This window comes from Homo sapiens, chromosome 13 (assembly GCF_000001405.40).
Source record: "Homo sapiens chromosome 13, GRCh38.p14 Primary Assembly".
In the NCBI taxonomy this organism is placed as follows: Eukaryota; Metazoa; Chordata; class Mammalia; order Primates; family Hominidae; genus Homo; species Homo sapiens.
In genome coordinates this window covers 76,912,582-76,925,437 of record NC_000013.11, presented here as the reverse complement: position 1 = coordinate 76,925,437, position 12,856 = coordinate 76,912,582, and the positions used below count along the sequence as shown (strand labels likewise).

General features: G+C 41.7%; 3 annotated features.

Annotated features, from left to right (window-relative positions):
* Positions 6,918 to 8,117: an enhancer, noted in NCBI's record as "MED14-independent group 3 enhancer chr13:77491455-77492654 (GRCh37/hg19 assembly coordinates)". NCBI's record gives its function as "activates an origin of replication core promoter dependent on BRD2, BRD4, P300/CBP and CDK7 cofactors, and independent of MED14, by STARR-seq in HCT116 cells {active_cell/tissue: HCT116}" and the evidence as "EXISTENCE:reporter gene assay evidence [ECO:0000049][PMID:35650434]".
* Positions 6,918 to 8,253: a biological region, named in NCBI's record as "MED14-independent group 3 enhancer GRCh37_chr13:77491455-77492654".
* Positions 7,582 to 8,253: an enhancer, noted in NCBI's record as "H3K27ac-H3K4me1 hESC enhancer chr13:77491319-77491990 (GRCh37/hg19 assembly coordinates)". NCBI's record gives its function as "activates a minimal SCP1, AML or CMV promoter by ChIP-STARR-seq in primed H9 embryonic stem cells {active_cell/tissue: H9 hESC(primed)}" and the evidence as "EXISTENCE:reporter gene assay evidence [ECO:0000049][PMID:30033119]".

The window sequence follows — 12,856 nt, the reverse complement described above, 5'->3', positions numbered from 1 at the left end:
TCCTGGCCGTGTGACTGGGGTTTGGCCAATGCAGTGCTAATAGATGATTTGTGGTTTGTCATATCTCTTTTCTCTTTGCCAGGACAGGACAACATTCCAGTGGTTATGAGAGGTAAAGTCACAGCCAACCTCTATAGTGGATATGTAGAGTGAGCAAGAAAAAAAGAAGCCTTTGTTCTTTAAGCCATGGGGAAGTTTTCAGGTTGTTAGTTACTGTAGCACCCTAACCCTCAAGCATGGTGCTAGGCACTGAAGGTAGAACAGTGAGCAAATTTGATGTACTCTTGTCCCTCATAGAACTTACATTCTAATAGAGGTGACAGAAATTAGTCAAATAGGTGAATTCATATAACCATAAAACTGAGGTAGATATTTTGAAGAAAACCAAATCTCGGGGAAGTTAAAATGCATTTCTTTCAATGATATTCCACTTATTTTCAGAAAAGCTTGAGGCTGTTTACAAAATCGAACACAATACACAATTTAAACCAGAGACAAATTAATATAGCAGAGAAATCAATGTCACAATGTCCTTGAGATAAATCAATTACTGCAGGAGAGCACAATAATTATTTCTGAGTTTCCTAAAGATAAGGCAAACAAGGAAATCTTTGAGTTATGTAATTTTTATTGTTTGACAGCAGGACAGAGACAAACACTTTCAGGAACTCAAGCTTTTCTTGCTCTGAATCACGAAGTAATTTATCAACTGGCTCTTTACAGAAGGGACAATTTAACAGGCAGTAACTAACTCGGGTCTTGCAAAAGTCACAGGAACATTGTTTAAAGGGATATTTTTCGTATAAATCATATATAAAAGTTACAGAGAATAAAAATCCTGATTAAGGGAAGTCATTTCTGCTGGGAGCTTAGATGATATAAGCCAGATTCTTGCTTTCTGCTATGTAACCCATGGCTGGGGGCAATATCTGGAAGAGGGGCAATGGATACTCTAGTATCATGACCCTGAGGACTCCCTTAAATATTGGAAGTCTCACAGGAGCCTTTGGCAAAGGCTGGAATTAAACCGATTTGTCATTGGATTTTTTTCCAACTTGGATCTTAGTATCTATGTTCTATGCTGTTTCACTGCAGAAGAATCCATCCACCCAATCCTTCCAGAATAATGCAGAATTGTCAAAATGTTCAAGAGCCTGATGTCTATCTTTTGTCATACATCAGTTGAATAGGATATACCCATATCCCGTGGGTAGGATCAATATTTGCCTCAAAAAGAAGCATTGAATTTCCTCAAGTGCTTCAAAAGACTAGTTAAGACAGCAGACTTTAGCACCATAAAACATGGAAGGGATAAGATGGGTCTGAAAATTTTAAGGGCTTTTGTTGACAATGGACTGCTTCAGTCAAACAAGAACCTGGCAGGCCATACCTGGCTCATCAGGTGGAAGAGTGAACACTTGGTCTAAATCAGCACTGGTTAGCAGGAGAAAAGGGTCACCACCGTCAGAGTTGTCACACTTCCTTCTTGAAAAGCTGCTTTGACTGTATGGACCTGGGTAATGCCATAGACACGAGCACGGTGCTATGTGATTTTAGTAGAACATTTGTCATCGTTTGTCATGATTTCTGTTGCAGATATACGTCTCTACCCATAAACTTGAGTATTTAAGAAGTGTATCTTTTGTAGAATTTCTGTAACTGAACACATTTTCTCACTGAATCTCCATTCTGCTGAATGGCAAATACTAAATCTTAGTTGGTCCCAGGATCTCCCTGTCCTTCACCTTCCTGTACATTGTGGGGAGGGGGAGGACACTTATGTCATCTCAAGTCATCGGGTAGGGGACATCAAGTGTCAGGCCTTAGGTTGGCAACATCTATCTAACCTGGCTTTGATAGACACACCTTTGCTCCTTCTGGCCCCTGGTCTCTGGTGTTTGTGCTGTGTCAGCCTCATACCAAGTCAGAGGCCTCATGGGTTTTGCTCTTTTTCTGTTATTTACCCATCCCTCCTGGGCTCATGGGGAATACCATGAACTCTTCCTTTGCCTCACTGGATTTTGGAGGCCCTGATGATGTTTTAGGCTTGTCTGCCCAGGTGCCCACACATTGATGATTCTTCTACTGTTTCCACTCTGGATGTGGGATATCTCTGTGGATCTTGCTGGAATGTTTTCAGTGTTAACAGATGTCCCCAAACCCATTTGGAGTTTCTATTATTCACCCTCTCCCACCAGTGATGGGGACAGGAGTGGGACTCCATTTCAGAGATACCTTAATATCTCAGCTCTTCTCTTCCTCTGACTCCCCCTTACTGGCAGAATCCTTGTCTATTTTTGGGATGGAACTGCACTTGTCTTTGATTTGGTAGACATCTATATCCAGTGGTTAAGGCATATACTTCAGGCCTTGAGTCCGGCAGCCTACATTTTCAAAGGCTTTAATACTAAAATTCTGGGATCTTGAGTCTTTAGTTTTTTTCTATTCTGCTATGGCAACCCTTCTGAAGGGCAGCAGACATAGAAAACCATAGCTGCTTCCTGAGTTGGGAGGAAGCTCATGGGTTTTAGGAAGTTTGAGGAGAATTCACAGTTACTTTATGAAAATAGTAGACTGCTTCAATATTTTCATTTTCATGATAGAGGTAGAGGAATGTGTTAAAATAGTGCAGTGAGGTGGGCAGCTAGCTACTTGAACAACCATCTTCATGGAATAGTGGTCCCTTGGACCCTTTTAAGAATCTCATGAAAACTATAGATCTTTTCTTTAGAAAATGCCCATTCAGACAAAATTGGGCATATAATTTCATGTTAGTGAATTTCAGTAAAAATCCTGGTGATAGTATATTGTGTACTTCATAGGGAGGCTTCTTAAAGTTTTATGCAAACTGCTGTTTTGTACTTAGCTTTAAAGACTACCTAACCAAATTTTATAGGGAAATACATGGAGGATCAAAGAGGTGAGGTGATTTTTCCTGGGCTAGATAACCAGTGATGCTGCTATGTTGTTCCAGAGCTTTGGATGAAGCTGTAGGAGACATTTCACTCAGATGTATAGATGATACTAAGCTAAAACAGATAGCTGAGATGGTCAATCTCAGATCAAATTATACTATCTTAAGTGGTCTTGACAGGCTGAAGAGCTACACTAAAACCAAGACATATATTTGAATAGTTTAACAACTTGCGTTCAGAGATGTCCTGTAAGGCATAGGTGTGCACTCTTGAATGCTGGTTGTTCACAAACCAGAAGTGTGGCAGGGCTTCTTAACTTGTTGCTGTAACTTTCTTTACATGAATGCCACACTTTCCAAACCTCCAGTAGTCCTGATTATCTGTTTCTGGGCAAGCTAGGCTGTGAATGTCCCCACCTAGTGCAGACCGGTACAGAGCTCAGAGGGTTGATACTCTGAAGTATATACTCATAATATTGAGCCTTAAGACTGTATTTGCTCCATCCACTTGCATCAGAATTGGCTCATTCTAATAGCACCTTGATCTTGGACTTCCCAGCCTCCAGAACTGTGAGCAATAAATTTCGGTTATATAAGTCACCCAGTCTATGGTATTTTTAAAATGACAGCACCAGCTGATACAGTGTTGATTTTTGTCCTGTTAATTTTTTAAAAACCTAGAATGTATAAGCCTACCTCAGAGATATTGCTGGGTCAGTTCCATATCACTGGCATAAAGCAAATATCACAATGAAGTGAGTCACACAAATTTTTTGGCTTTCCAGTGCATATAAAAGCTATGTTTGGCCAAATGTAGTGGCTCATTCCTGTAATCCCAGCACTTTAGGAGGCTGAGGCTGGCAGATAGCCTGAGGTCAGGAGTTTGAGAACAGCCTCAGCAATATAGCAAAACCTTGTCTTTATAAAAAATAGAAAAATTTGTCGGATGTGGTGGTGGTGTGCACCTGTAATCCCAGCTCTCAGGAGGCTGAAGTGGGAGAATCACTTGAGTCCAGGAGGTGGAGATTGCAGTGAGCCGAGATTGCACCACTGGACTCCAGCCTGGGTGACAGAGTGAGACCCTGTCTCAAAAAAATAAAAAAGTTATGTTTACAGTATACTGTAGTCTATTAAGTGTGCAATAGCATTATGTCTAAAAAAGTGTACATACCTTAATTCAGAAATACCTTATTCCTAAAAAATGCTAACATTCACCTGGACCTTCAGTAAGTGTAATATTTTTTCTGGTGGAGGGACTTGCCACAGTGTCGATGGCTGCTGACTGATCAGGGTGGTGGCTGTTGAAGGTTGAGGTGACTGTGGCAATTTCTTAAGACAAAAATGAAGCTTGTTATATCAACTGACTTTCTTTCACAAAAGATTTGCCTGTAGCATGTGATGCTGTTAGACAGCATTTTACTCATGGTTGAACGTCTTTCAAAATTGGAGTTAATCCTCTCGAAGCCTACCATTGCTTTATCAACTAAAATTATGGAATATTCTAAATCCCTAAATCCCTTGTCATTTCAACAATGCTCATGGCATCTTCACCAGGAGTAGGTTGTATCTTAAGAAACTACTTTCGTTATTCATCTCTAAGAAGCAACTCCTTATCTGCTAAAGTTTTATCATGGGACTGCAGCAATTCAGTCACATCTTCAGGCTCCACTTATAATTCTAGTTCTCTGGCTATTTCTTTTTTAAAAAAAAATTTTCCATAAGTAATTGGGGTACAGGTGGTATTTGGTTACATGAGTAATTTCTTTAGTGGTGATTTGTGAGAATTTGATGCACCCATCACCCGAGCAGTATACACTGTACCATATTTGTAGTCTTCTAGCCCTGACCCTCCTCCCACTCTTTCCCCCAAGTCCCCAAAGTCATTGCATCATTCTTATGCCTTTGCGTCCCCATATCTTAGCTCCCACATATCAATGAGAACATATGATGTGTGGTTTGCCATTCCTGAGTTACTTCACTTAGAATAATACTCTCCAATCTCATCCAGGTCACTGCAAATGCTATTAATTCATTCCTTTTTATGGCTGCATAGTATTCCACCATATAGGTATATACCACAGTTTCTTTATCCACTTGATTGATGGGCATTTGGGTTCGTTCCACAATTTTGCAATTGTGAATTGCACTGTTGTAAATGTGTGTGCAAGTATCTTTTTTGAGTAATGACTTCCTTTCCTCTGGGTAGATAGCCAACAGTGGGATTGCTGGATCAAATGGTAGTTCTACTTTTAGTTCTTTAAGGAATCTCCATACTGTTTTCCATAATGGCTGTACTAGTTTACATTCCCACCAGCAGTGTAGAAGTGTTCCCTGTTTACCGCATCCATGCCAGCATCTACTGTTTTTTGATTTTTTGATTATGGCCATTCTTATAGGAGTGAGGTAGTACCTCATTGTGGTTTTGACTTGCATTTCCCTGATCATTAGTGATGTTGAACATTTTTTTCACGTTTCTTGGCCATTTGTGTATCTTCTTTTCATGTCCTTAGCCTACTTTTTGATGGGATTGTTTGTTTTTTTTCTTACTGATTTGTTTGAGTTTATTGTAGATTCTGGATATTAGTCCTTTGTCAGATGTATAGATTGTAAAGATTTTCTCCCACTCTGTGGGTTGTCTGTTTACTCTGCTGACTGTTCCTTTTGCTGTGCTGAGTTCTTATCCATTTTGCGGTTCTGCATCTTTTAAGTGGAGCATTTAGGCCATTTACATTCAATGTTAGTATTGAAACCTGAGGTACTGTTGCATTCATCATGCTCTTTGTTGCCTGTGTACTTTGGTTTTTTTGTTTTTTGTTTTTGCTTTTTAACTTATATTTTTATTTTATAGGTCCTGTCCGATTTATGCTTTAATGAGGTTCTGTTTTGATGTGTTTTCAGGATTTGTTTCAAGATTTAGAGCTCCTTTTAGCAGTTCTTATAGAGGTGGCTTGGTAATGGTGAATTCTCTCAGCATTTGTTTGTCTGAAAGACTGTCTCTTTCCTTCATCTATGATGCTTAGTTTTGCTGGATTTACAAAATTCTTGGCTGATAATTGTTTTGTTTGAGGAGGCTGAAGATAGGGCCCAAATCCCTTCTAGCCTGTAGGGTTTCTGCTGAGAAATCTGCTGTTAATCTGATAGGTTTTCCTTTATAGGTTACCTGGTGCTTCTGTCTCATAGCTCTTAAGATTCTTTCTTTTGTCTTAACTTTGGATAACCTGATGACAATGTGCCTAGGGGAAGATCTTTTTGTGATGAATTTCCTTGGTGTTCTTTGTGCTTCTTGTTTTTGGATGTCTAGGCCTCTAGCAAGGCTGGGGAGGTTTTCCTTGATTATTCCCCCAAATATGTTTTCCAAGCTTTTAGGATTCTCTTCTTCCTCAGATACACCAATTATTCTTAGGTTTGGTCGTTTAACATAATCCCAGACTTCTTGGAGGCTTTGTTCATATTTTCTTATTCTTTTTTCTTTGTCTTTGTTGGAATGGGTTAATTTGAAGACCTTGTCTTCAAGCTCTGAATTTCTTTTACTTGTTCAATTCTATTACTGAGACTTTCCAGAGCACTTTGCATTTCTAAAAGTGTGTCCAAACTTTCCTGAATTTTTTACTGTATTTTCTTTAAGCAGTCTATTTCCTTGAACATTTCTTCCTTCACTTCTGGTACCATATTTTGTATTGCCTTGCATTGGGCTTCACCTTCTCTGGTCCCTCCCTAATTAGCTTAATAACTATCCTCCTGAATTCTTTTTCAGGTAAATCAGGGATTTTTTTCTTGGTTTGGATCCATTGCTGGTGAACTAGTGTGATTTTTGGGGGGGTGTTGAAGAGCCTTGTTTTGTCATATTACCAGGGTTGGTTTTCTGGTTCCTTCTCATTTGGGTAGGCTCTGTCAGAAGGAAGGTCTAGCACTGAAGGCTGTTGTTCATATTCTTTTGTCCCATAGGATGTTCCCTTGATGTAGTACTCTCCGCCTTTTCCTATGGATGTGGCTTCCAGTGAGCTGAACTGCAGTGATTGTTGTCTCTCTTCTGGGTCTAGCCACCCAGCAAGTCTACCTGGCTCTGGGCTGGTACTGGGGGTTGTCTGCACAGACTCCCATGATGTGAACTGTCTATGGATCTCTCAGCCATGGATACCAACACCTGTTCCTGTGGAGGTGGTAGGGAGTACAATGGACTCTGTGAGTGTTCTTAGCTTTGGTGGTTTAATGCTCTATTTTTGTGCTGGTTGGCCTCCTGCTAGGAGGTGGTGCTTTCCAGACAGCATCAGCTGTGGTATTACGGGGAAGAACCGGCAGTGGACGGGGCCCTAGAACTTCCAAGATTATATGCCTTTTGTCTTCGGCTACCAGAGTGGGTAGGGAAGGACCATCAGGTGGGGGCAGGGCTAGGCATGTCTGAGCTCAGACTCTCCTTGGGTGGGTCTTGCTGCGGCTGCTGTGGCGGATGGGAGTGAGAGTCCCAGGTCACTGGAGTTGTGTACGTGGGAGGATTATGGCTGCCTCTGCTGAGTCATGCAGGTTGTCAGGGAAGTGGGGGAAAGCCGGCAGTCACAGGCCTCACCCAGCTCCCATGCAAACCGAAGGGCTGGTCTCACTCCCTGCGTGTCCCTTATCAGCCCCCAGACTGTTTCCAGGCAGAGAGCAATACCAGCTTGAAAACCTGCCCCAGGCTACTCGCCTCCTAGTTGCGAAATAAAAGGTCTGGATTTTTCCCAGGCCTGTAGAGTCTGCATACTGGATTTGCACCCTCCCCCTGGTTCTGGCCAGGAGGCTTCTCACCCTGTTCAAATTGTTACTAAGTTCAGCTAGAGATTTGCTTCTTCCTGTGTAGTTTTACCCCCTGCTCCTCTCCCGCTGGATCCCTGAGGTGCCAGGCAGGAGTAGCCTGCTAAGGCACCCAGCAAGCTCCCAGGGCCTTTCTGCTGCTTCCTCTACCCCTGTATTTCACTTGGCTCTCCACATTGACTCAGCTCCAGATAAAGTCAGAAACTTCTCCCACAAACAGACCTTCAGCTTTTCCAGTGGGGGTGTGTGTTTAGGAGAGGAGGGTCTCCCTTTCCCAACTTCCACAGTTGGGGCACTCACAGTTTTGAGGGTTCACCTGGGTCCTACAGGAGCAGTCTCCTTTCTTTAGAGGGTCTGTGGAATTGCTCTTGGAATTGCTGTCTCTTGCTATTTCTGTCACATCTGCAGTTACTTCTTACACTGAAGTCTGGAACCTCTCCAAGTCATCCATGAGCATTGGAATCAACTTCTTCCAGACTCCTATTCATGTTGATATTTTGATCTCCTCCCATGAGTCATGAATGTTCTTAATGGCATCTAGAATAGTGAATCCTTTCCAGAAGGGTTTCAATTTACTTTGCCCAGATCCGTCAGAGAAATCAATATCTATGGCAGCAATAACCATATGAAATGTATTTCTTAAATAATAAGACTCGAAAGTTAAAAATTTGTCCTTGATCCTTGGGCTGCAGAACAGATGTTATATTAACAGGCATGAAAAGAACATTAATTTCCTTATATGTCTGCATCGGCACTCTTAAGTGATCAGGTGCATTGTCTCTGAGCAGTAATATTTTGAAAGTAATCTTTTTCTGAACACTGGGTCTCAACAGTGGTCTTAAAACATTCAGTAAACCATGCTGTACACAGGTGCTGTCATCCAGGCTCTGTTCCATTTATAGAGCACAGGTAGAGTAGATTTAGCGCCATTCTTAAAGGCTCTAGATTTTCAGAATGGTCAATGTGCGTTGACTTCAACTTCAAGTCAAGCTGCATTAGCCCCTAACAGGAGGCTCTGCCTGTTCTTTGAAGCTTTGGAGCCAGGCATTTACTTCTCTTCTCTAGCTGTGAAAGTCCTAGGTGGTACCTTCTTCCAATAAAATAAGGGATGCCTGTAGTTGTCTTCAGTTTCTTGAAGGATTGTTATCTTCTCAGGGGTATAGAAGTAGGCTGGGTAGCTCTATAAGATTGAATTAGGATCAGTTGGTAAAAATTGCAGGGAGGCCGCCTTGTGTTCAAGATCTAAGAATAAAATAAAACCTTCTAACAGAGAAATGGGCTGGGAGTGGGTTGGCTGTCATTGGAAGTTGAGTTTTATGGATGTCATATAAAGTTTCTTGCATTAATAAGGACATTGGACTGGATAACTTTTAAAGTCTCTTCAACTCTAGGATTTTTTAAGCACATTAAATGTCTTTGGAAACAACCAAAATAGACTTTTCTGACTTTGGAGAAAAACAAACTTTTTTCTCAGAACGTTGACTCCGTGGGTCAAATCTCTGACTAACTATTATGACAAAAGATGCTCTGGCCACGTAGAGGGTCCTAGTAGAGTGATTTTATTCAACAACTATTTCCTTTGTGCCTATTATGAGTTATATGCTGTGGTAGGTGAATGAGATACAAAGAAGATTTTTAAAAAGTGGTCTCTGTGGCTGGGTGTGGTGGCTCATGCCTATAATCCCAACAACTTAGGATGTTGAGGTGGGAGAATTGCTTGAGCCCTAGTTTGAGAGCAGCCTGGGCAACATAGTGAGACCCTGTCTCTACAAAAAATAATTTAAAAAATTTAGTTGGGCATGGTGGTATACACTTGTAGTCCCAGCTACTAGAAAGGCCAAGATGGGAAGATCACTTGAGCCCAGAAGGTTGAGGCTGCAGTAAGCCATAATTGCACCACTGCATTCCACCCTGGGTGACAGAGTGAGAACTTGTCTCAAAAAAAGTAGTCTCTGCCCTTGGGGAAGTTGACAAAAATGGAAGAGAGAAATCTATAATATTAATAAAAAATGATATTTATTAAGAACATAATACATGGCAGGTGCTAGTCTAAATGTTTTTAATATTAACAATAGTCCTATAAGATACCCATTTACAGATGAGAAAACTGAGGTATAAAGCGTAAAAGAATACTTTGCTCTATTTCACCCAATTATTAAGTGCTAGACCAGCATGGAGGTGGTCTGACTTCAGAAGCTATGCCCTTAATCTTAGCACTATCCTTCCTCTTTCCTGTAATATCTTTCCTTTGTACCGAATCACATCGTGTCCTCCTGGTTCTCCTTCATCCTCTCTAACTGTGCTTCTCAGTGTCCTCCATGACTCCTTTTCCTCTGCCAGGCCGTTTTACCTGGTGTTCTCCAGAGCTCTGCCTAGGCTTTCTTCCCACGTTGAGCCCTCTCCAGGGGTTCTCTGAAGGTCTCATGGTCCCTGATTACCAGTCAGGGGCAGACAACTTGCAGATCTGTCTCCTTAGCTCATTCTGCATCCCCAACTTTCAGGCTCAGACGTTCAGTTGCCTCTTAGATATCTTTACCCAAATGTCCATACGCATCCAGTGCTCTATGTGAAGTATACTGAATGCATCAACTTTCTTCCTAAATTCACTTCTCCTATGTAGTCCATATCTTACATGGGACCCTATCCATGCTGAAAAACTAGGAGCCATATTTGACTTTTGTCTTATCCTGCACAGTCAATCTATATGGGACCCCATCCATACTGGAAAACTAGGAGCCATATTCTTTGAATTTCTGAAGATAGGGCCCAAATCCCTTCTAGCTTGTAGAGGTTCTGCTGAGAAATCTGCTGTTAATCTGATAGGTTTTCCTTTGTAGGTTACCTGGTGCTTCTGTCTCACAGCTTTTAAGATTCTTTCTTTTGTCGTAACTTTGGATAACCTGATGACAATGTGCCTAGGGGAAGATCTTTTTGCGATAAATTTCCTGGGTGTTCTTTGTGCTTCTTGTATTTGGATGCCTAGGTCTCTAGCAGACCCCATGCACCATTCATCTTTCTATTTCTAGGGTTGGGCACCATGTCTGATCCAGCAGATGCTCAATAAATAAGCTTTTGAAATAAATGTATTTATTGAAATAGCTAAATGAATAGAAACGGTTAGTGTGGCATGACACGGGGAATTGATTAAGTACCAAGGAGCCAGTGAACCAGGGATTACAGATTCTGCTTGGGAGACCCAAGTAGGCTTCACAGGAGAGATGACATTTCATTAAGACCTTCAGAGAAAAGGATGAGTAGACATGGGCTAGGTACAGCACAGGGGAAAAGGACTTTGTTGGCAGAGGGAATTTTCAGGGTGAGGTGGGCGGTTTGGCAGGGCTGGAAACAGGGGACCTGAGCGGGGTGGTAGCTGGCAGGTGGGCTGAGAGGTGGCATGCAGCAGGACTGGGGAGGCTGCCTCACCTCTGTTGTAGCCAGATGGACCCTGGCTGAGAACCCAGGGAAAGCAATGCCACCTACTATGCCGAAATTGGTTTTCCAGCCCCTTGCGTGGGAAGAAGTCAGTAGATCACTTATTAACTTGTCAACACACTGGAATTTTTAAGTGAAAACCCTCTCATAGAATTAGAAAATCCATATGTGTGACATATGGAAAACATTCAACAAATACAGTGAACATTTTTCTAACTTGTGACACGTGTTTGCCATCAAGCATTTAAAAAGAGGTCCTGTCCTTTATTATTTTATAAAACGTGTCTCTCTTGATTGCATGATTTTTCCATTTCTCCTCCCTGACATTTTCATTCTAAAGTTATATAGTCATATGAGGCTTAATTGCTGCTGCTACTTTTAGCAGCCTTCACTCACTGTTGAGATTTTTATTTCCATATAACAATGACGCACCTAGAATTACACCATAATAATTATTGGTAAAGTTAATTGCAATCCAGCTCTTTCACTCTTTCATGTTTTATTGGTAATTCTCACAGTTTAAAGGGTTATAATCTGTATAGCACCTGACACAGTTCTGAGCACTTAGTGTGTGCTCAATAAACTGTAATGAGTAAAAAGAAAGTATTGCTTTCAACTGATTTGATCTTGTGATTTATAAGCATTTGAAAGGTGCTATTTTATTTTATTTATTTATTTTTTTTCAGGCAGAGTCTTGTTGTGTCACCCAGGCTAGAGTGCAGTGTTGCAGTCTTGGTTCACTGCAACCTCCACCTCCTGGGTTCAAATGATTCTCCTGCCTCAGCCTTCCAAGTAGCTGGGATTACAGGGGCCTGCCACCACGCCTGGCTAGTTTTTGTATCTTTTTAGTAGAGATGGAGTTTCACCAGGTTGGCCAGGCTGGTCTCAAACTCCTGATCTCAAGTGATCCTCACACCTTGGCTTCCCAAAGTGCTCGGATTACAGGTGTGAGCCACCATGCCTGGCCTGAAAGGTGCTATTTTAATTAAGGCTACTTTGTCTTCCAAAATTTCAGAGTTAAGTCCTTAAGACTTTTCTTCAGTGAAGAATAGGCAATTGCTGCAGCCCAATTTACTGTCCAAGCCTTTTTGCAGAATCAAAAGTTCCTGAGGGAATGACTGTTGCACTTCTGTCATTTGTTAAAAAATGAATTGGGTGGTTACTATGTGTCAGGGTTGTCTTAATGACGAGAAACACAGGAATCAAGCAGACCTGGTTTCATCCCTAAAAACCTTGCAATTTAGTACAGGTAGCCATACAAAAACCCAAGTCTTCCAGAAGTCTACCAAGGCCATGGTAGAGCCACAGAGAAGAGAGTAATCAGCTCTTCACAGAGGTTTAGGAATGACTTCACACAGGAGGTTATGAGCTTGAACCAAGCCATAAATGGCCAAAATATGTTCCTGCATTACAAGTAGAGGATAGTGGTGGCAGGATGTGCAGTGAAATTGGTTAAGTCAGGTTCATGGAGAACTCTGTATGGCTTCATAAGCAGTTTACACTTTATCCTATAAGCAAAGGGGGCTTTTAATGGGAGAGTGAAATGGTCAGATTAACCACAAAGATCATTCAGGTAGCAGTGCAGACAATGGGTTCAGGGAGTAGAGTGGGAGGTGAGTGGGTGGGCTGTGCAATGTTTTGGCAGGGATGCCAATTATAATACAACCCAATGGGCCGGGCACAGTGGCTCATGCCTACAATCCTAGCACTTTGGGAGGCTGG